Source organism: Homo sapiens, chromosome 12 (assembly GCF_000001405.40).
Source record: "Homo sapiens chromosome 12, GRCh38.p14 Primary Assembly".
Classification (NCBI taxonomy): domain Eukaryota; kingdom Metazoa; phylum Chordata; class Mammalia; order Primates; family Hominidae; genus Homo; species Homo sapiens.
The window spans coordinates 58,879,483-58,901,544 of record NC_000012.12 but is presented as its reverse complement, the minus strand read 5'-3'; the positions used below and the strand labels follow the sequence as shown (position 1 = coordinate 58,901,544).

Sequence of the window (22,062 nt, the reverse complement as noted above, 5' to 3'; positions counted from 1 at the left end):
ACACATGAATATTGAACACTTAAAATGTGGCTAGTGTGACCCAGGAATTGAATTTTCAGTGTAAATTTAAATAGCCACTCATAACTAATGGCTGTTATACTGGAAAATGCAAGTCTAGAGCCTTAAAGTCCGCTCCATCACACACCTGTCTGGCATGGCAGTATAAACACAATGGCCAGAACAAGGTAACTGAGATGTGGTCTGACTTATACAGAATATGGTGGGGTCATCTCTCAACCAGAATACCAGACATTAATGAAGTTTCAGATTATATTAGCATTTTAAGTACCATGTTGTATTATTGGCTCATACTGAGTTTGTAGTCAGCTGTTATTAGTAAGCTTGTTGTCACTTTTCATAAGAATTGCTTTTACATGGGCCTTGTAAAAATGCTTGATTAAAATTCCAAAACACTGCCTTATCCCAGCTCAATTCTCATCTTGCTTTTTGAGCATATTTTAGTACATTGAGAGGTTTTGGATCACGATTCATCAAATATGTGAATTACACTTTTAGTTTTGTGGCATTTGCACTTGGTCATTCACGTCTCTATGTTCATACAAATGTCGACAGCACGGGGCCACAGTAGCTGCCACCAGCTGCTTCCCTAAAGGTTAATGCCAGTCTGTGAATAAAGACAAAGGATGTGAACTCACCTGCCTATGTGATAATTGTCACCACATTTTCTATGCCTTATTCACAAGGACAAGATAAATATTCTGGTGAAATAAAGCTATTCTGTGTCTGCATTCTGGTCCGTTGGTCTGTGTACCATATCAGAACATAAAATGAAATTAGTTTAACTGAATGTGTTTATATGGAATCAACTGTCTATATGATAACTGATGCAGTGTTTTCTGGTTTGTACTATCATCTGAAGTGAAAATTCTTTATGTAGGCTAATTTTAAAAAATACACAAATCTAAGCTGAATTTTTTTTCAGTAAAACAGACTATAGTAACTTAATGGTTTTATTTTAGTGTTTAGAGAAAAACTGGTTTCATTCATTGAATTTCTATAGAAGGCGTGCTATTAAGCATGATGGACTGAGTGCATTTATTTCACTCTGCTCCTTCCTAAAATCCCTTTAAAATAAAAGTAAAAGAATAAAAAGTGCATACCAACGGGAGCAAAGAGAAAATAGAGAACATGAAGAGAAGATACAGTTCAAATGAAAGATGCCATACAAATTTTGCAAGCAAATGGATAAATTGTAACTGACTTAGAGAAATAGTGAAGTTGATCAAAAAAAAAAAAAAGGTGCTTGAGAACCTCAAAGTGGCTTAGGAATTTAGAACCTATAAAGATGGGAGTGCAGAGTAGGACTGAAAACAGGATTGATTAAAACTTTTGTATAGGAGGATAGAAGTAATCAGACCTCCAGGTTTCCCCTCCAAAACTCAGCCCAGTAACTACCTTTCCCATGACACAGAGGTCTGGAAATTTAATTTTGGGAGACCTTAAATAGAAAGTACCTGGGATTCAGGACAGAGGCCCAGCTGTGCAGGGGTAATGATTGAGGGGGGGCAACATCTTCTGAAATCAGGAAAATTAAGTCAAATATGAATACTGAAGGCAACACCCCCAGCCCTCAGTTTATTTCCTGTTAGCCTTCCCAGATGGTAGCATCCAAGCTCTACTCACCAGACTGGAGATTGGAGAATTTGGGAGAAGATTCACAGAAACTGACATGTGGCCATTTTGTCCTAAAATAGGTCCCTCCTTCACCTGTGCTGGCACTCACCATTCAACAAGCCCATACCACACACAGCCCTCAGAAGGCTTTTAGTGCTGCTTTTTATTAAGTATGAATGAGTAGCCAGTGATCATCAGACTTTTGAAGACGTTTCTAACAATGAAGTCAGAGTTTGAAACAAATGAGAAATGAGAATCAGAGATAAATGGAAGGAGAAAGGAACATCAAAACAAATTTAATATCTTTGGAGAGAAAAGAAAGGGTACTATGTCCACAAAATCAGAAAAACATGATGAAAAAAACAGTAAAAGGAATATTCAGAAAAGTTAAAAATACAGTACCAGACACTTTAAAAACATAATAAAAATGTTGGGAGAAAGTTGAAAAACTCAGAAAAAAGAACCAAAAAACAAAGGTATGGAAGTCATGGGAGGAAAAAATAAGAAAATCGGAAGATGAACTAAAAAGGCTAACACTTATCTAATTGGAATTTCACAAAGAGACGTCAGTGGAAATGGAAAGGAGAAAACTATGAAAGATACAAAATTTTGAATTTCCTGGAAGTGAGGAATATACATTTCTAGATTGAAAGGACCTACTGAGTTACGTCTCAATGAAAACAAGGCAAAGATGGTCCTATGAGGACTGTGCTCCTAGCACATCACCATCACCTGGGAACTTGGTAGAAATGCAACTTCCTTGGTCCCCACCCACACCCAGAGAAAAAGAAGCCCTGAAGGTGTGGGCTTAACAATCTGGTCTTCCAGAAGCCCCTGCCCACCAATCCTGATGTGTGCTAAAGTTTACAAAACACTGGTGCAGAGAGTCAGAATGGCCTCTGGCTCCCCAAGCTGGCATTATCCATGAGCAGTGTCTTCAAAATCCTAAGAGAGGCTGGGCGTGGTGGCTCCCACCTGTAATCCCAGCACTTTGGGAGGCTGAGGCAGGCGGATCATGAGGTCAGGAGATCGAGACCATCCTGGCCAACATGGTGAAACTCCATCTCTACTAAAAATACAAAAATTAGCTGGGCGTGGTGGCATGTGCCTGTAATCCCAGCTACTCGGGAGGCTGAGGCTGGAGAATTGCTTGAACCAGGGAGTCGGAGGTTGCAGTGAGCCGAGATCGTGCCACTGCACTCCACCGTGGCAACAGAGCCAGACTCCGTCTCAAGAAAAAAAAAACAAGGGAGAAAAGGATTAATAACCTAAACTATACACACCCAAATTGTCCTGTAAAGATATTTTCAAACATGAAGTGACAGCTTTTACACATGGTTTCTTGCAAAGCTAACAAAAGATAGACCCCAGGAAAATGAAGGAGCAAGCCAAGAAAGAGGAAGACTAGACAGCCAGGTAATGGGGCTCCCAGGAGGAGAGAGGTGAAAGAAACCCCCAAGAGGGAGGGTAGGTTCTACAAGAGGCTACAGTATTTACATGATGCAGTTGTATGACTTCTCTGCAACAAATCTGGTCATTTGCAGTGTTTCTCATCCAGATCTAGAGTCACAACTCATTAGAGCTGGAAGAGATCATTTCATTTCATTTCCCTCTGTTTACAGGTGAGAAAATTAAGGTTCACAAAAACGTAGTAGATAAAGACACAGAACCAGGAATAGAATCTAAATCTCCTCTCTGGGGAGCTGTAGTTTGAGTTACTGTGTCAGATCTTATCAGCAGGTTGATTAATATAGAGTATCACAGTTTTATGTTTACGCTTTCTGGCTGGCAGCAGTAATGGACATTTTGTTTTCTGATGTTCATATGCATTTTGAACAATAGCTAAGTTAAATCCTTATGGTGCAATCTACAGCTGCTCTTGAGTGTCTGCACTCCAGTTTGTTCACTCTGGGGTCTTGTACCCATTCGTTTTATCCCGAATTCTGGGGAACCAAAGATAAATCAGAGGTTCTCTCCACTCACAAGTAAATCACAAGCCTAGTAGGGGAGACTCAAACCAGATCAATGGTCCGATATGTGAAAATGACGGTGGAAGGCCTCTGCCCCAAAAAAGAAACAGTAAAAATTTTTAAGTTTACTAAATCAAAGTAGAGTCCATTTTTATTGTACATAAATTACTTCAGATTAAATATTTTTTCAATGTTTTCTTTATCCTGTTGTCTTCTAGGATTTGCTTTTCAAATTTCCATTTACATGAAGGACTAGATTGAATTTATACTTGGAGATCAAAGAAGGGCTGTTTTGTATGTGGTGTGAATGGGGCTTTTGACTTATTTTTCTTTTATTGATTTTTTGTTGTTGTTGTGTTAAGAGACAGGGTCTTGCAATGTTGCTCAGGCTGGATTTGAACTCCTGGCCTTAAGTAATCCTCCCACCTCAGCCTTCCAAATAGCTGGAATTACTTGCATGCACCGTGGAGCTTGGCTCATATTTCTTTTTTCATTTTTAACATGTGTTATGACTGGTGCATGAATAAGACACTGATTATTGCAGGACCTCTATATTAAAATATTAATACATGGCCATCTTTATTATGTTTGTGATCCAAAGGATAATTATATTTTATGTTGACCTGACTTTTTGCTGAAAGAACTGATTCTTTGCTTCTTACACCAACACTCGTTTGCTGGTTAGTGTCCTTAATTCTTCATCAAGAATCTGTCTCCTTACACAAGTTTCCTCAGTTGGCTTTATTCTTTGATGCTGCAGTACCAATGGACCAGTCTAAACATGTGTTCTTTTAATGAAACCTCTTAATTATCTTTTTAGAAAAGAGATGAGCAGTTTATTTTTTATCTATATGAGAGGAGTTCTTTGCTTGCCAAACTTCTGTTAAAAGTTGCCTGATATTATGGGGTGTTAGTTATTCCAGTCAAGATAGTTTTCAAGGAAGCTTTTCGGAGGGAGTGGGGGTTATTGTTGGAAATATAAGTGACCTTTAATGTGTTTGCAGAATGTAGTGTTTTCTTTAACAGTTTGTAATTCCTTTATAAATGGTGCTAAGCTGGTTGTTTGCAAGTTATATATAGAAATTAGTATTTCCTTGGGGCCAGGCTTGACTGTACCAGTCCATACATTTAATCTGCTTGCTCGATGGTTGTTTGTATGGAATGACCACAGATTCAGCAATTTGTTAGTTGCAATCACTGAATTGGACTTAGGGGATGTGGTTAGAGTGATGCATTCTAAGGAAAGACGGTATTGCAAACATAAAAAATGGCTTCACATTAAATTTCAGTGCACACATCCTCTAAAAGGCAAATGCTGCATGCAGATACCTTCTCTAAATTGCCTAGATTGCATGTCCTTACACATCACAGCTGCAAGGTCTTAAGCTGCCTGTTATCCGTGTACTAGGTAGGAGACAGCTAAAACTATTGACAGATATACATTATTCAACAGGAAGCTACACTTTTGTTGGTTTAGGAATTCCAGTGTGAGAAAACCTGATATTCTGGTTCCTCACTAACAAAGAATATTCCACTCTGTGGTTCTCCTTTCAGACCCTGGAATTAAACTAACACCATTTATATCCACTTAAGAGAGCATGAAGGTTCTTTTGAGACACTTATGCTTTCTGGAGATTACAGTGAATCAAGAAGTAGAACCAGTCATCACACTAAGTGGTCATATCACTAACCTCATAAGTTATATTTTACTGTTGTTAATTTGGTCCAGATTTAGATTCAAGGCAGGTGTTAAGAGTATCCGAACAAACTAGCACAGTTCTTATATGTGAGAATAATGCACTTATCCATTTTCTTAGTGATTACAGAGGCATTAAAATGCCAGTATTGGGCTGTTCTGGGCAGTAGCATCTCACACCTGAGCACAGGGGGACCCTAGTCTGCACTCTGTGTCTTAGAAAACCTCCCATATCAGAAGCACCAAATGCAATGGTAATGGATAGTGAATGAGAACTCCAGTAGAGCTGAACTGGGTCCCTGTGGCCAGAGGCTGCAGAGCTGGAAGAGCTGATCCTGTATGTCAGGGAAGGAGAAAAGCACAGTGTGTGCCCTGGAAACCAGAGGAAGTGTGATGTTTCGCCCCCCAAGTGGGCATCAAGGTCGCTCGTCATCCTTCTGTCGTCTGTCCTGCATGAAGTTAGGAGCCTCCGATTGGTGCCCTTGCGCCTGGTCATGCCCTCTTCCTCCCAGTCTTTCCACCCACAGCCATCAGAGTAGCCATTCTAAAATGTACATGTGATATTGTCACCCCACCATTTGACATCCTCTGGCCCCCTCCCCACAGTTGATCTTGAGATAAAGGTCAAATGTCTGATGTGGTTTCCAGGGCCCAACTTGACTGCTGTCATCTCCCGGCGGCCTCACTCTTGAGCCTCTTCTTTCTCCACTCTCCACCCGTGCACTCTGTACTTAGCCATCAGGTGTTCCTTCATTTCCTCTAAGGGAAGCTTTGCTCTGCTCTCACTTGCCCAAATCTTTGCCTCGGCTTAGAGCACTAGCCTCTACTGTCCTTTGCTGAGCTAACTCATCCCACAGATCTCAGTGTGGCCGTTTCTTCCCTTCCTTTGGGAAGTTTTGCTGACCTCCAACATTCTAGAAGTCTGTCCACAGTACTTCCACTGCCCACTCCTCCTTTCCTGTCGCTGCACTTACCACACTGGACAGCTCCCTGTTGCCTGCTATCCTCCCCACTAGACTTTAAGCTCTGTGAGGTCAAGGGGCATGTCCATCTTGCTCATGTAGAACTCCAGTGCTCTCAGAGTAAATATCATCAGATGAAAATGGTAAGCCATGTTTGCGTCTGCATTTTAAAGGTATTTGGCAAAGTTGGCTGAAAAGTGAAATAGGCAACAAAATGAAACCATTATCACTGGACCCGAGAAGCTGAGGCCAAAATACGTGGTTCTCCTGTTTTTCCAGTGGTCTCTTAGAAGCCTGAGGGAACCATCTGGTGTTCCTGACCAACCCAAGTCCCCAGGTCTGTGTGTCCACAGGGACTAATTATACTTCACTTCAGAAATTAGTTAACCATGGAACTCCCTGTACTATCAACAAACATAGAAGACCAAAATATTCCTAGTCTCTAAGATGGATTTGTACAAGACTGAAACACCTTCCAGTATTTACAGTTTATTTTGTGATTTTTGAACAATGGAAAGATGGTGTTTCCACATTAAGTAATGGAAAAAGGTATTCAGAGTTTTGTTTTTGTTCAAGCGTTGCACATTTCCTGCCAAAAATATTAATTAACTACAGCGCTTTTTAATGTGTTGATCAAGTTTGGCATTTATTCCTATTTGGAGAAAAATGAAAGGTGGGGTTGAGTTGAATCTCTGTCTACTAGAAGTGGGTATTTTTGACCAACTCCATAAAATATGTTTTTTTTTTTAGGATTCTAGATGATAAAAAAGATTTTTTAATCTAGCTTTTTTAAGGTAGTTGTCTCCCATTTTTAGCCCCCTTTATTATACAAAGCAAGTTTTTTGTTTGTTTGTTTTGTGTTAAACTGGTATGGTGTATATCAGGTGGGTACTTGCCAGTTAGTCTGAGAGCTAATAAGAAACGAGTATTTGGATTTAATTCAGTTCCATTAGGACAGATTTAAATTTTTGTGATACAAGGACTATTATTCTCACAGTTGTAAGGGATTTTTGTGCTAGGAAGCAGTGCTGACAAAGACAGCACTGTGCACGCTCCGTCTAGAACTGAGCACTTTCACACTGCGATTTAGGAGGTGTGCAGTTCAGGAAATTGCTGGCTTTGGCTGGAGCATACTTTTACTGCAAGGAAAATTTTATTCGTCACTCAAGTAATTGGCAGTTTTAATACCTTGTTCATAATTACCTTATAAACAAACGGATATATAAACCAAAGACTGTATGGTCTGTTATCTAACTGGTAGCCTTATTTGACCAACGTGATAGACACCTGTGGGCCTCCCTGCCTCCCCACCCCCAACTAATTTGCTTTGTTTATTGCACACATCCATAGCTGAGTGTTTTGTTTTTGTTGTTGTTAAATACAAGCGTAGCTATACTTGCCTCAGACAGCCTGGGGACCAAAACCAGATGCAAAGTTTGAAGGGAGATAGGGCTAGGGATAGGGGAGGGGATAGAGAGAGGGGCACTCGGGCACTTCAGAGTGACTCCAGTGTTTGTAGGAGGACATCCTAGTAATGCAAACATTTGGATTATGCATTTAAGAGAAAACTTCTGTCCCCTAGAGCAGTGTGGTTTTATTTAACCCACACACCCTGACCCTAAGGCCTTGTGGCGTGTCTCCTGGATGGAATCCATCTCCGGGACCTAGGAATTGACTAATTGTCTCACTTGCATTACCCTATACCTCACAGCTAGATCAAGGACTTTATACACAGGCAAATCCAGATGTGGGAAATGGTCAAAATCAGAGGTCATGGCTGACTTGACTCTAAACAAAAGCCTCTAAGACTTTATGAGAATCTGAAGGGCTTGATACTCATTTGTGACTTGTACATGGGACTGCTGAATCGTCTCTTTTTTAAAACTTTACTATTATCATAAAGTTCAGCTCTTAAGATATACATTATCTATGCTAGTTACCTGACATTAGATTTTCTGATGACTTGGATTTTAAAGTTGGAAAAAGACAATCCACCCACAGTCCTTAAAAATACTGTTCAGAAGAGTTTTAACACTATTTCGAGAAGCTTTCTTAATTTGTTCTTTAAATTTAAAATGTATGCCCGTTTTGTCCCCTTATTATTCTCTTGTGAAGAAGGTGGCACCTGACAGAAAGTCGGCCATCTGACTCTGGTAGATGGTAAATACACACAAGCCCTGGGGCCTCCTCTCACCTGCAAAGTGGGCAAGCACAGATTGGGAGGGCCTCTGTTCTGGGGCATTCTTAATGTTGGCATGATGATGGCTCAATGAGCCAGGGTAGATTCCCAGATCAGTTTAAAACCAGAAGTTCAGCATTTTTGCAAGGTGGGAAGTAGCGGCCTTTTCAAGGGAGGTACATATCTGCATAAGAAATTAAATGCCAGAATATCTTTCATACTCTGTATTCTGTGAAAGAAGCCTTAAGGGATTGCTTTAGGAACAATCAGACTTGTTCTTTGAGCTGGCTCGGGAATGCTTGAACTTGTTAGGTGAAAAGCCCTAATTTTAAGATGTTTTGTAATGTCTGTACCAGAGAAATTTTATTATGATTAAAGGGCATAATATATGAAAAGTGTTTAGCATAGGGCTTGGCACTTAATCGATCTTCAATATTGTTAGATTTTATACACATTCTAAGGGTGATATATAGAGAGAATTCTGCTTCTAAGAATATCTCAGTATGGCAGAGAAGACCAGTGGTGTAAGTTTGACGTCAGCTTGCAGCACAAGATTTTGTGAAAATATGTAAGAGGTACACCTCACTTGGGAACCTACTGTGATAGTGAGAGACTGATGAGTTACAATAATGCAGAAGAGCTCAGAACACTGTAGAAATCCAGTTTTGGGTGCAAAAAATACACAAGATATATTTTGTAAGTTTTCTTTTTAATCGAAGATTAACTGCAGACCGTGTACAAACACCAGTGTGTGACTTATGTAAGACACAGAATTCTGTTTAGAGCATTCAGATTGTTTCATTGTTTCTCGCGTTGTAAAGAGGAGACCTTTCTATGATTTGTAGGTATCCTTTCTACCTTGACGTTATTTTCTCCTGCCAAAAGATGGTCTAAAAAAGACCAAACTGCCTGATCTAATATGACAATTATGATGGCTTGCACATCCGTTTGATTGCCATTTTCTAACAAAATTGTCATTTAATGCTGCATTTTCCCTTGGGAGTTACTATATTGATTGATGACTTTTGAAGAACTTTGAAATGACTTCTTTTTTTTTTTTCTGTTTGTTTCTTTCCATTTGTTCAGTATAACAGTCACCAGTAGAACTTTACACAATGGTAGAAGCATTCTGTATGTGTGCTGTACCATTTGATAGCTACCAGGAGTGGATGGCTATTGAGCACTTGAAATGTGGCTACTGTGACTAAGTAGCTAAATTTTAGCATTTAATTTGAATTAATTTAAATTTAAAGAGCCTCATGTGGCTAGTGGCTGCCATACTGGACGTCATGGTCTGATGTTTAAGACTTTTAATGTAAAACATGTTTGGATCTAATTATGCCAAGGGATTATTCAAACTGGAGTGTTCTTCTTATGTAATACTTTTGTACTATTGAAAGGGCTGGAGCATATTCATTGGTGTTGAAGACTATGGCAGTGCCTTGAAACTTGCTATTTCTTAAAGAAAAGGGGATCTCTCTAGCATGGTTCTAGAGAGATCCCCAATCTGACAAGTATTTTAAATTCATTGGCACCTGTAATATGGGCACTTTTCAAGAGAAGAATTGGAAATAGATTAGGAATCAAGAAGAAGGAATAGGGAATTAACTCATGAGTGCCTGGTATGCCACCTTGGTGTTAGGCATTTCGTATACCATTTAATAAGGAGAAGGGAGCAGAGCTGTTAAGAAAAATAGCCAGGTGTGGTGGCTCACACCTGTAATCCTAGCACTTTGGGAGGCTGAGGCTGGAGGATTGCTTGAGGCCAGGAGTTGAGACCAGCCTAGAGAACATAGTGAGACCCCCCGACTGTATAAAAAAATTAGCGAGATGAGGTGGCACTTACCTGTAGCCCTAGCTACTTGGAAGCTGAGGTGGGAATATTCCTTGAGCCCAGGAGTTTGAGCTGCAGTGAGTTATGAGTGTGCCACTGCGCTGTAGCCTGGGTGACAGAGTGAGACCCTGTCTCTAAAAAATAACAATAAATAAAAATTTTTAAAAAAAAAGAAAAATAGGATAAAGAAAAATCAAACCACTGTCTTTAAGTGCATAGCATTTAGACAGCCACAGCTGCTAAACAGAACCCCAGATTTATATAGGAATGTTTTCCACATATTTGAATATTATGATTTATAATTTAATGAATAACTTAAAATGGCCATGGTATTGCTCTTTAACTTTTAAAAGTACTGTTCAGATTAGTCAGTTCCATATTTCTGAAGAACCAGTCAGGAATAGAAAATATTTTTCTTCTTTCAGATTGTTGTACCGTTAACCTTGTTAACTGTGGTTTCTTTTAATTCTAGGGCTGGAAACAGGATTGTTGAAATACTCCCTGAACATCTGAAAGAGTTTCAGTCCCTTGAAACTTTGGACCTTAGCAGCAACAATATTTCAGAGCTCCAAACTGCATTTCCAGCCCTACAGCTCAAATATCTGTAAGTGAAGTTTTCTTTAGCAAAAACTTTCACCTGTAATGAAAATATTACAATGAAAAAATAAGATATAACAAACTTTGTCTACTTTACTACTGATGGATTGAAAGTATAATTTATTGACTTGAAATTTGCTGTAAGCTCGAATGACCACAATCTTCAGTTTATTCTTACACTTTTAGATTACAAAAAATTACATATTTTTTATTAGAAAACCTAGATGGTGTGAAAAGTGCTCATTTTTAAAAAAACAATCAAAATCAGACCATTGCTATGTTTTATTAATAAATGAATGTCATAAAAAGTGGATATTTATAAAAAAATTTTGCATCCGTCACATATTTTAATCACTCTTTTCCCAGCAATATGTGTGAATCTTAACATCTGTCCTTGAGGACCTAAAAAGTAATTATTTTAAGTTTCCATTGATGGTTAAGTTCTCTGGAGACTCCTTCTAATACAGAGATGGCCTGCACTTTAACTTGCAAATAAATCAGAAGGAGAAGCTCATCTTTAAACTTTCAACAGGTATCTCAACAGCAACCGAGTCACATCAATGGAACCTGGGTATTTTGACAATTTGGCCAACACACTCCTTGTGTTAAAGCTGAACAGGAACCGAATCTCAGCTATCCCACCCAAGATGTTTAAACTGCCCCAACTGCAACATCTGTAAGTAAAATGTCCTCTTAGATACTGTTTCTCACCTCCTCCAAACCCTTGGTGTCTTTTCCTTAAAATCTACAATGTGGCAAAAAGGAGTTTAGGAGCAAGGATGTAGCTGCCTTTCCTTTGAGAGTTGGAGCTGTAGAATCTCCAAATTGGAAAGAGCCTTAAACATCATCTCGTCACCTCGTGCCAGCTGCTGCTTGACAAGACACGTTAGATTGTTACTGAAAGAGTGAACAGTGTAATCATTGAACAAGGCTGGTACAAAAGTGCCATTGTGGCACTGAAAAAATCCGAGGTCTCAACAGCTGTGGTTTATGAGAATAATACCGGCAACTCCAGGAGGCTCTGATAGCTTAAGTGGCTGTAAAGATCTGTCTTGTTAATAATGGTAGAGCGATCTGTGAACAGACTCCTGCAATAGGGCAACTTTGGCTGCACATTACAAACACTTGGGGAGCTTTTAAAAAATCTCACTGCCCAGGCCACACCTTAGACCAATTATATTAGGACCTCTAAGGGTAAGATCCAGGCTTCAGAAATTTTTAAAACTCCCAGGTTGCGTCCAGTGTGCAACCAAGGCTGAGAACTACTGCCTTAAAGAGAAAGCATTAAACCTAAAAAGAAGGGTGAAAGATAGTAACCAACTTGTAAACAGATTGTACAGGATAAACTTGAGGCCCAGCTCCTTGATAGACCTCATGTTTTAGTGTAACATTTAATAATCTCATTCTGGATTGTTTAAAAACAAATCTTAATTTGTTTGTGTCTATACTGAGTGGACAAGACTTTAGAAATTAAAGTGCAGTCTAGTTTCAGTATTTTATTATTCCAAAAACACATGACACATTTCAGTAGGAAATTCACTGCCTGCTTAACAAATTGAAATTCTTTGCAATAAAAATGTTTAGAAACTGAAAACACTGTATGTAATTGAACACTGACTGGTTGAACTATATTGTAGTAATGACACATTTTATTACTACCTCCAGAATTTAATTGTCATATAAGCTAACTCTTGTAATACTCAATGCAGCGAATTGAACCGAAACAAGATTAAAAATGTAGATGGACTGACATTCCAAGGCCTTGGTGCTCTGAAGTCTCTGAAAATGCAAAGAAATGGAGTAACGAAACTTATGGATGGAGCTTTTTGGGGGCTGAGCAACATGGAAATTTTGTAAGTGTGGGTTATCACAGTTCCTACTGAGGTAGTATGATCATAGAATGCTCAGTGTACATTCAGCAGGTCTTATGTGAAATCCTATGTTAAAATCTCATCATCCACAATCTTATTTATAAGTCAGTATTCAGTTTTGATTCAGGTAATGTGATCGATAATTTATAAGTACCTAAATTTAGTATAGTATAAACTATATAGTATTTTTTTGCTGACGTCTTCATATAACAAAAGCTAAACATCTAATAACAATAGGAATCTGTAATAGGTTGTAATCATATGTCCCCTTTGAAGAGACTAGATAATGAAGTTTTGATCCTGCTTTTGATTCTTACTGTAAATGTAGGCAGCTGGACCATAACAACCTAACAGAGATTACCAAAGGCTGGCTTTACGGCTTGCTGATGCTGCAGGAACTTCATCTCAGCCAAAATGCCATCAACAGGATCAGCCCTGATGCCTGGGAGTTCTGCCAGAAGCTCAGTGAGCTGTGAGTTGCCTTTTATTTATTCTCCTCAGGTTTGAGAGCAGGGATCATGCCAGGGCATGAGCTTCTTACCACTGATCTGTGAAATTTTCATAACAAAGTTTCCAAGGTGACAGCTTTTTTCACATGCAACCTAGTCTTATTTTTGTTGTGATAAGTTGAAGCCAGTTCTACTGTTGCAGTTCTATGTCACGTTGGCAAAAGCAATGATGGTTATTTTCAAGTAAAGAGAACGTATTTTTTTAATTACTGATATTAGAAATATTTACTTGGATATTATTAAGGCAGAATTTAAAAATAAGGATTAGTGTAGCTCATACAGTACCTGTCTTTTGGAAAACAAATCATTGTGTTGAATTGAAAAATAAAAGCTATTGCTTTTCTCTTTTTTCTTTACAGGGACCTAACTTTCAATCACTTATCAAGGTTAGATGATTCAAGCTTCCTTGGCCTAAGCTTACTAAATACACTGCACATTGGGAACAACAGAGTCAGCTACATTGCTGATTGTGCCTTCCGGGGGCTTTCCAGTTTAAAGACTTTGTAAGTTACACGTTTTGCTGTCAGTACTCGAACGTAATTGGTTCCTAAATATGCCCACTTTTCTCCTAGCAGATTTCCTTTGTTGTCAAGGAAATGCATACAGCCTCAGAAGTAGTATCTTAATCTTTCCCAGATCAGTTTGATTACAATGGATCCATTTCATCCATATGTGTTTCGTATAGGGATTAAAAAGGACAGTGATCAGTTTGTTTTGGTGATTACAGTGAACCTTCTCAGGATCTCCAGGAAATTGGTAACTGCTTAAGAGGGAAACAATTTTAAGTCCACTAAGTTTTTCTTTGTAAAATACAGATTAAAAATTACTTAGAGCAAAAAGGTCTACAAAGGGCAAGGAAGATACTGTTTATCATGCCAGTTATATCCTCAACCTGATCTCTGTCCTAAGAGAAAGAAAAGGGAGTTAAATTAATTGACCTTTGAAAAATTTCTCAAATGGTAATTTAAGGTTGTGCAATGGGCTTTTGATTTTTGCTCTGTCAGAAACTTTTGCTCTGTTCGCTATTTGAAGCATTACGTAATTGAAAGACATACTGTATGCTTTGGCGAACTTCTGCATGCGTGGTTGGAAGAGTGGTTTTAAAGTTTAATGTATTTTTCAGACTGTTCGGATCATTCAGAATGTAGTCATTTTGATAGAGGAATTAATAGGGCCAGTGTCAGCTTTTTCGGATTTTAGGGAAAAACTTAAAATGTTGTTGAGGGAATCAGGCAGGGTGTAAGAGGTAAGTTGGAGAAAAAGAGTTTTCTATTATTTTGAGAGAGGTGGAGATAATGTGGGGAATTATGAGAAATTTTTTACAAATGATATGCCACCTGGGTGGTGATACTAGGCTTTCTGAGCTTATCACTCTAAAGGGAATGCTTCTTTTAAAATTAGGGATCTGAAGAACAATGAAATTTCCTGGACTATTGAAGACATGAATGGTGCTTTCTCTGGGCTTGACAAACTGAGGCGACTGTGAGTATGAATTGCCTCATAATTTAGCTCACTCTTTGATTTAAAAATTTTGTCTTCACTGAAGTCAGCTATACAAGTTGACATCATGAAGAGATGAGAAATCAGTGCTTAATCTGGTTACCACCCTTGATCCTCTCCCCAAATGCCTGCTGTTGCGCAAGATGTATATTATTAACTTTTTCTTCCTTAGGTGAAAGTGTTTTATTCAACATTTTAGTATGTGTAATTTACTTTAATATCCTCATAATAATTTTCATCTATGTTGAGGGCTTACACTTTTGGAATTATCATTGCGTAAAAGTTAGTGCAGGCACTTCCACATCTTGAAATCCTCAATGTTGTACTGTCCCCGTAGGAATTTTTTTAATGAAGTAATCTAGTAGCCACTGATAATGCTGTGGTAGGTTACAAGCAAAACAGGATGAAAACATCTTATAATTAACCATAAAATGGTCTTGCAGATGGTCAAATTACATGTGTTAAGCCAGCAGTATTCAAATTCAGCTCCCTATAGTCCCAAACTCCTATGGATGGAAGGTATCCACAGAGAAGGAGAGGAAGGAGAAAACGTTCACTATTATCTGCTTTGTTAGTGTTCTGAGACAGTTTACTTGAAATAAAGTCTCTACCTATTCCTAAAAGGACTCTGAAAAACAGTGATTTAACTTAATCAGCAGAGTGACTTACTGAATACCTATTTTTGTTGGGCTCTTTGTTGAATGCTTCAAAAACCATGTTCGACTACATTATTGAAATAGATGGCATGGACACATTTTTACAGGATATATTGTTTAATTGAAGAAAATGGAATTGCTCACACATAATTTAAAAAGCAGTTCTGTTTATGAGAGTTCCACCCCAAAATGGCTTTTTAAATTAAGTGCTCCAATGTAATTTTTTTCCCCAGGATACTCCAAGGAAATCGGATCCGTTCTATTACTAAAAAAGCCTTCACTGGTTTGGATGCATTGGAGCATCTGTGAGTAGCTAGAATTTAGTTACCCTAAAAGAGAATCTCTAAGATGGTTTTTACTTATGTGTCATGAAAGATAAAACAAACTGGAATGTAATTTTGTTGGCATCCTTCCGGTTCCATAAAATATATTTAAACATCTCCCTATCTTTCTATTTCTTTCTCTGTCTACCTACTTACCTACCTACCTATATAGAAGTATACAGGTGTATGCTTTCCTTTGTATTTAAGAACAAAAGCTATATCTCCTTAATGGGTTTTTAATTGTTTTTCTCAAACAGTGATTATTTAATTAAAAAAAAAACAAACTACTAGGTGTAGTTCATCCACTATATATCAGGCATTGTACCACATATTCACATATATTCTCATTTAATTCTTAGTCAGAATACAATTCAATAGCTATTATTATCTTTATTGTTAAGCGGAGGTTCTAAGAGTTTATTGATTCCACTGGACAGTTAAAGGAGATGACTTGGCTTTTAAAGAACAAAGACAATGTTCCACAATCCTTAAGAGTGACATAGGAGAGTTTTAGCACTACTTTGAGAATTGTTGGTCTCTTATTGTTGTTTAATTATGAAACATACAACCCCCCCTTACCATTGTTCTCTTTTTTGTTGTTTTCTTTTGTTTCGTCTTGACCCACCAGTTAGTAGCTGTCAGAAGCAGGACGCAACCCAGAGCTGCCCCGACTTGCACAGTGTCCCTGCATCACACTAGCTCTTGCCTGTACAATCTCTGCCGCTACTCCCAGTAGCTCCTAGTAACTCCTGGCACACATTTCTGAAATGTCATTTAGGGGCTCAGGAATTTTCAGCCACTAAGAGAGGAAAGCTAGCTAACATTGATAGGAATCAAAACTTGCATGTTTTAACTAAGGGAACCAACCAGCTGCTTATAACCATGGATGTATGTTTTACGCTTGTACAGTAAAAGTACAAAGTAATGTATAATATCGACTCTGACTGTTAAGGAATGCTTGTATCCAGAAGTTTTAATATGTATTAACCAGGACAAAAGAAGTTACAATTTAAAATACATATTGGGTTCTCCTATGTGTGCTGTGTATTGAGAGTGAAGATTTAGCTGTTATCTGTAAACCACTGTGTTGTCACCTTCTGACTGCACCAGTTCCTCTGAGGGAGACTTGGATCGTGAGCCACCCAGACAGTGAGTGCGGCAGTTCAAATTATAGTAGAATGATTCTGCAAAGCTGAGTTTTGGAAGGGCAGACCAACATTGCAGTATTTATTGAAACCGATTATTTTGAAAAGAAAACTAGCCAAAAGGGTTTGTCATTTGGCCCATTCCGTTTCTGGGAACGTGGAATTAGTGGATCAGTGGAGTATTAATCTCTGCTTCAGTTTTCTTAAATCTTCCTTGATTGCCCCAGCCTCTTCGTCTAGCCATGTCTGGTCCCTTCTTTCTTTGTCTTCTCTTCCCACTTGTCTCACTCAATATTCCCTTTGTATACTGTGACCCCTGTAAAGAAAAACAGAGTGGTAATCATTGTGGTGAATACTTTAATGCAGAGTGCTTATAAGTCTCTGTATAAAGAGAATTAATCCAGAATATGTGCTCATTTTATGAATTTCCTGCCTGAAGTATTGGTTTTAACAAGTATATCTTGTCTGAACATCTTACTGCGTTTATGTTAGTGAGCTGTGGGTGACAGAATTAGGTTAATGGTTAAAAGCACAGGTTTTGGAATTGAAAATAATTGTTTCAACCCTTACCTTCCCCTTTCGTGCTGAGCTAAGTAGTAATACCATCATATTTTGGGTTGTTGTAGGAATAAATGCAGTAACACTTGTAAATCACTTAACTGAGTGCATATCTTCAAAAATACTGTGTAAATGTTTTATAAAAGCATAATTATTTTTATTTTTTATTTGTATATTTTATTTGTATATTTAGAAGTTTCCAATAGTTGCTAATTTGAATAAAGAGTAATAGAATGAAATAATAGAACAGCATGGGCCCTAATGAGTCAAATAATCTTTAAGTGATGACAGAAAGTGAATCTTTTTCACTAAAACAAAACCTATCTGTGATACAAATGCCCTGGGTCTTCAGCACAAGCTTTGCAGTGGATTCTTCTGGGGCTGCCCCAGTCATGTATTTGACACATAGAGGGAGTATTTGTTTGGCAAATGGGGTGGGCAGTGGGGGCCCAAACTTTGTCCAAAAGCACGAAATGATGGTAGTTTGCTCTGATGCATTTGATTTGGTGATTTTTCAGAGACCTGAGTGACAACGCAATCATGTCTTTACAAGGCAATGCATTTTCACAAATGAAGAAACTGCAACAATTGTAAGCTTTTCTTTTCCTTCTAGGAGTCTGAAAGTATAGAGGGGAAAACTGTCATATGGTGTGGCATCCTGGATTATGTATCTATAAAAAGTGCCTGGCACATTCTTAACATTACTTAATTTTTATACTAGGCAACAGAAAAGGAGTTTATTTGTTCTTTTTGTTGAAATGAGTTTTTCTTTCTATTTTAAATTCGCAACTTTGTGGGACCAAATATAGTACAGTCACCCAATATAGTAGTAATTTTTTCAGTTGTAAGGAACTTTTGATAAATCAACACTTCTGTCTCAGTAGGACAGTAAGAACAACAGAAAATCATGCTAGATACATTTCTTGTATTTTAAAATGGACTGTGGGATACTTATTCCATGGGATGTGTGTATTCAGTTTCCAAATTCATTGCTTTGTTAATATTTACTTGGGTTTAGTTTACTTGTAGAAATCTGCATTTCATACAGAACAAATTGAATGTAATTACTCTCCTCAGGCATTTAAATACATCAAGCCTTTTGTGCGATTGCCAGCTAAAATGGCTCCCACAGTGGGTGGCGGAAAACAACTTTCAGAGCTTTGTAAATGCCAGTTGTGCCCATCCTCAGCTGCTAAAAGGAAGAAGCATTTTTGCTGTTAGCCCAGATGGCTTTGTGTGTGGTGAGTATAAGTATTGCCCTTGCCTTTTATTTATTCTTCTTTTTTCCCCCTCCCATTTATCCAAATAATGGTTTTGAATAGATTTATGATCTCTTTATAAAGCTTTTATTTCTGCTGAGGTAGAGGAAAATGGGTCTATAGTTTGCTGATTATTTTAATTTCACAGATGGGAAAGAGAGTTTTCTAAAATTGCTTCATCTTTGTTTTGGCATCAGGATGGTGCGGTGGAATGAGAATGAAATTGGATCTTGGGAGAATGGAAGGGTAATCTCAGCCCTTCTACTTAACTTAAATTCCCTAAATATTAGTCTCTGCATCCATGAAATGGGGACTCTCCTTTCTTCTCTTCCCAACTCTGAGGCTTGTTGGGAGGTTTACATGAAAGAGAAAATTATTAATGATTTATGGGGTGCTAAAAAATTAACTATTGGTCGGTAAAACATTTACAAGTAATAGGAAATGTGAATTTATTATAAATAATTTTAAGGTCCATTGTTTTAGCATCCAAGAATCTCAGCATTAGAAATCTAGTTACCTGAACTTTACATAGCTAGTTAGTAGCAGATCTGGATTTAAAAGAAAAGTTTTCATCTCTGGTGTAACTTTCTGTCTATTACATGATGCTGCCATTTACTATTAGCTGCCATGGAGACCTCTGTAAAAATAAATATGTTTTATAAACCAATAAATCAGAATTTGCTTTTATTTAAGCATGGGTGTTAAAATATTAAGAACCTTCTTTTGCATTGGCATTTAAAAATTTACTTAAAACTGCTTTGTCCACGATATATATTTTTAGGTTGCAGCATTAAGCAGTGCCAGTAGTTTCTGGAAATAAAACCTCTGATGTAGCTTTTGGAACTGAATAAGCTTTTGGCATTCATCTGTAAGGGCCTGAACTGCTCCTTTCCCATGGTCCTTGTTTCATAGTTTTTTAGTCCCAAGATCTGATCCCCCTATTACGTTGAAACACATGTATAGTATCCATCGTTTTTTTCACTTCCTTGTGAATCTGAACATCGATTTATTAGATGAGAATTTCAGAATAGTACAGAAAACACCTCGATTACAATATGCAGACATTGAAAAATAGCAGCCCTGGAGTTATCAAAGCATCCCCTATAACCCATTCAATACACATAAAAAGTTGTCTTTTCAAATAGTAGCACCCAAATGGTACGCTTTGGTAGATCTCAGATGTTTCCTTCTGGGTTTAGATCATGGCTGAGAAACTGAAGTTCAAAAAGGTAACTTTTCCAAAATGTAACAGAGAACTAAAAATAACTGTTAGAATGAAAGAGTTGCTTAGCTCTAATTATAATGTAGCTTTGACAGGGCAGCGCGGCGGCACGATTGGCCGCTCAAAGCTCCAGGCTGAAGCCAGTGTCTTACAGTTTGTTTTACAGATGCTTTTTCTTTTGCTATCAGCTTTTTTTTTTTTTTTTTTTGCCTCTACCTAAATTACTGTTTTTAAATAGTGGTTCTGTTTTGGTAAATGAAGTGTTAATGGCTGTCTTTGTTGATTAATCATGATTGATGTTTGATTTCCTAATTTTGCTGCTCATTATCTGGGGAGAACATGGGAACAATTGCAGTTTCTGATAGTAGCATTCAAAAATGATCCCTGAGCCTGGAAGTTTTTAAACTGCTTTCTTCTTCTACTTATAGAAAGCATAAGGGATCAGGAATAAAGTGTGGGTTTTCCGATAGCTCCAAAATAACAGTCTTTTCTCAGGTAATAGTGATTGATAAATAGATCTGCATCTGTATTCGAGATGAATGAGTTACTTTATAAATACTCTCCCAGTGTATCATTTCAACATGGGGACGGCTAGTCCATCTGGAAAACATACACAAAGGGTAAAACCTAAGCCACTGTTTTTGCATTTCTTGGTGTTCAAATTTGAGTAGTATTTGGACTCTTGAGCCTTAACATTGTTTTGTCTCCTCCTCTCCATTTTTAACAGATGATTTTCCCAAACCCCAGATCACGGTTCAGCCAGAAACACAGTCGGCAATAAAAGGTTCCAATTTGAGTTTCATCTGCTCAGCTGCCAGCAGCAGTGATTCCCCAATGACTTTTGCTTGGAAAAAAGACAATGAACTACTGCATGATGCTGAAATGGAAAATTATGCACACCTCCGGGCCCAAGGTGGCGAGGTGATGGAGTATACCACCATCCTTCGGCTGCGCGAGGTGGAATTTGCCAGTGAGGGGAAATATCAGTGTGTCATCTCCAATCACTTTGGTTCATCCTACTCTGTCAAAGCCAAGCTTACAGTAAATAGTATGTGATCTGACTTTTCCTTTAGCATTTAAAGATACCTTTTAGAAATAGAAAGCACCTGTTTTTCTCTCTTAATCTTAACCCTGTCTTTTCTTCTCACAGTTCCCCACCTGACTCTTCCTTTCCCTACCTTTCATTCCACAAAATTAAGATTCTTGGTTATTTGTATCTAAACCTGCAATTATGTTGAAGACGACACCGTACTCAGTGTGGTGAGTAACACAGAGATGAACCAGACATGTTTTTGCTCTTTTTTTTTTCTTTTTCTTTTTTTTTTTTTTGAGACGGAATCTTGCACTGTCACCCAAGGCTGGATGACATCCTGGTTGCAATCTTGGCTCACTGCAACCTCCACCTCCCAGATTCAAGCAATTCTCCTACCTCAGCCTCCTGAGTAGCTGGGATTACAGGCGTGCGCCACCATGCCCGGCCAATTTTTTGTATTTTTAGTAGAGACGGGGTTTCACTATATTGGTCAGGCTGGTCTCGAACGCCTGACCTTGTGATCTGCCCACCTTGGCCTCACAAAGTGCTGGCTGGGATTACAGGTGTGAGCCACCGTGCCCAGCAATGTTTTCCTCTTTGAGAGTTTACAGTGTAGTATACTGATCTGGAAGGCTGCAAAGCATCATGCTGGATGCACACTGCCTTTAATTCAGAGATCTGTGTGTGAATCCTGCCACTCCTGCGTGATTTTCAGCAGGTTGCTTCACTTCTCCGCCTCCAGTTCCACATCTTTCAATTAGGGATAATAGGACCTGCCCCCTAGAGGCATTATGCTCATTTAGTGAAATAATATGTGTAAAGGATGTAGCAAAATGGCTACAAGGTAGTGCTCAGTAAATGCACTGTTAGCCACTGTTAACAGAAGTCTATTCTTGTTTGCTTTGTGTGGTAGGTATACAGTTTTACAGTAGGATCCTTGCCACTTTATCATTTAACTATCTGTATCTGCCGTGGTAGAAGATTTTGAATATGATTCATTAATGCATTCACTCAGCAAATGATGGCTGTGGCCTGGCACATAGAACAGTTTTGAGTTTAAATTGTAGGGCAAAACATGTATCTTAAAAGTCACAGAATGTTAGAGCTACCAGG

At 38.3% G+C, this 22,062-nt stretch overlaps 1 protein-coding gene across 3 annotated transcripts in view, besides 1 other annotated feature; it reads left to right on the top strand.

The window, feature by feature from the left end:
- The window catches only part of LRIG3 (leucine rich repeats and immunoglobulin like domains 3), a 48,350-nt gene that overhangs the window by 18,960 nt on the left and 7,328 nt on the right, over positions 1-22,062 (top strand). For 2 of the 3 annotated variants that reach the window (NM_153377.5, NM_001136051.3), the window contains exons 4-13: positions 10,749-10,880; positions 11,406-11,549; positions 12,583-12,726; positions 13,073-13,216; positions 13,613-13,756; positions 14,655-14,735; positions 15,643-15,714; positions 17,954-18,025; positions 18,513-18,676; positions 20,644-20,964. In NM_153377.5, coding sequence (NP_700356.2) covers positions 10,749-10,880; positions 11,406-11,549; positions 12,583-12,726; positions 13,073-13,216; positions 13,613-13,756; positions 14,655-14,735; positions 15,643-15,714; positions 17,954-18,025; positions 18,513-18,676; positions 20,644-20,964 — 1,418 coding nt within the window. Of the gene's footprint in view, positions 1-10,748; positions 10,881-11,405; positions 11,550-12,582; positions 12,727-13,072; positions 13,217-13,612; positions 13,757-14,654; positions 14,736-15,642; positions 15,715-17,953; positions 18,026-18,512; positions 18,677-20,643; positions 20,965-21,066; positions 21,273-22,062 lie in introns of those variants that run through there. The other variant, XM_017018790.3, reaches the window with a different exon arrangement.
- Positions 12,799-13,998: an enhancer, noted in NCBI's record as "BRD4-independent group 4 enhancer chr12:59281329-59282528 (GRCh37/hg19 assembly coordinates)". NCBI's record gives its function as "activates an origin of replication core promoter dependent on BRD2, P300/CBP, MED14 and CDK7 cofactors, and independent of BRD4, by STARR-seq in HCT116 cells {active_cell/tissue: HCT116}" and the evidence as "EXISTENCE:reporter gene assay evidence [ECO:0000049][PMID:35650434]".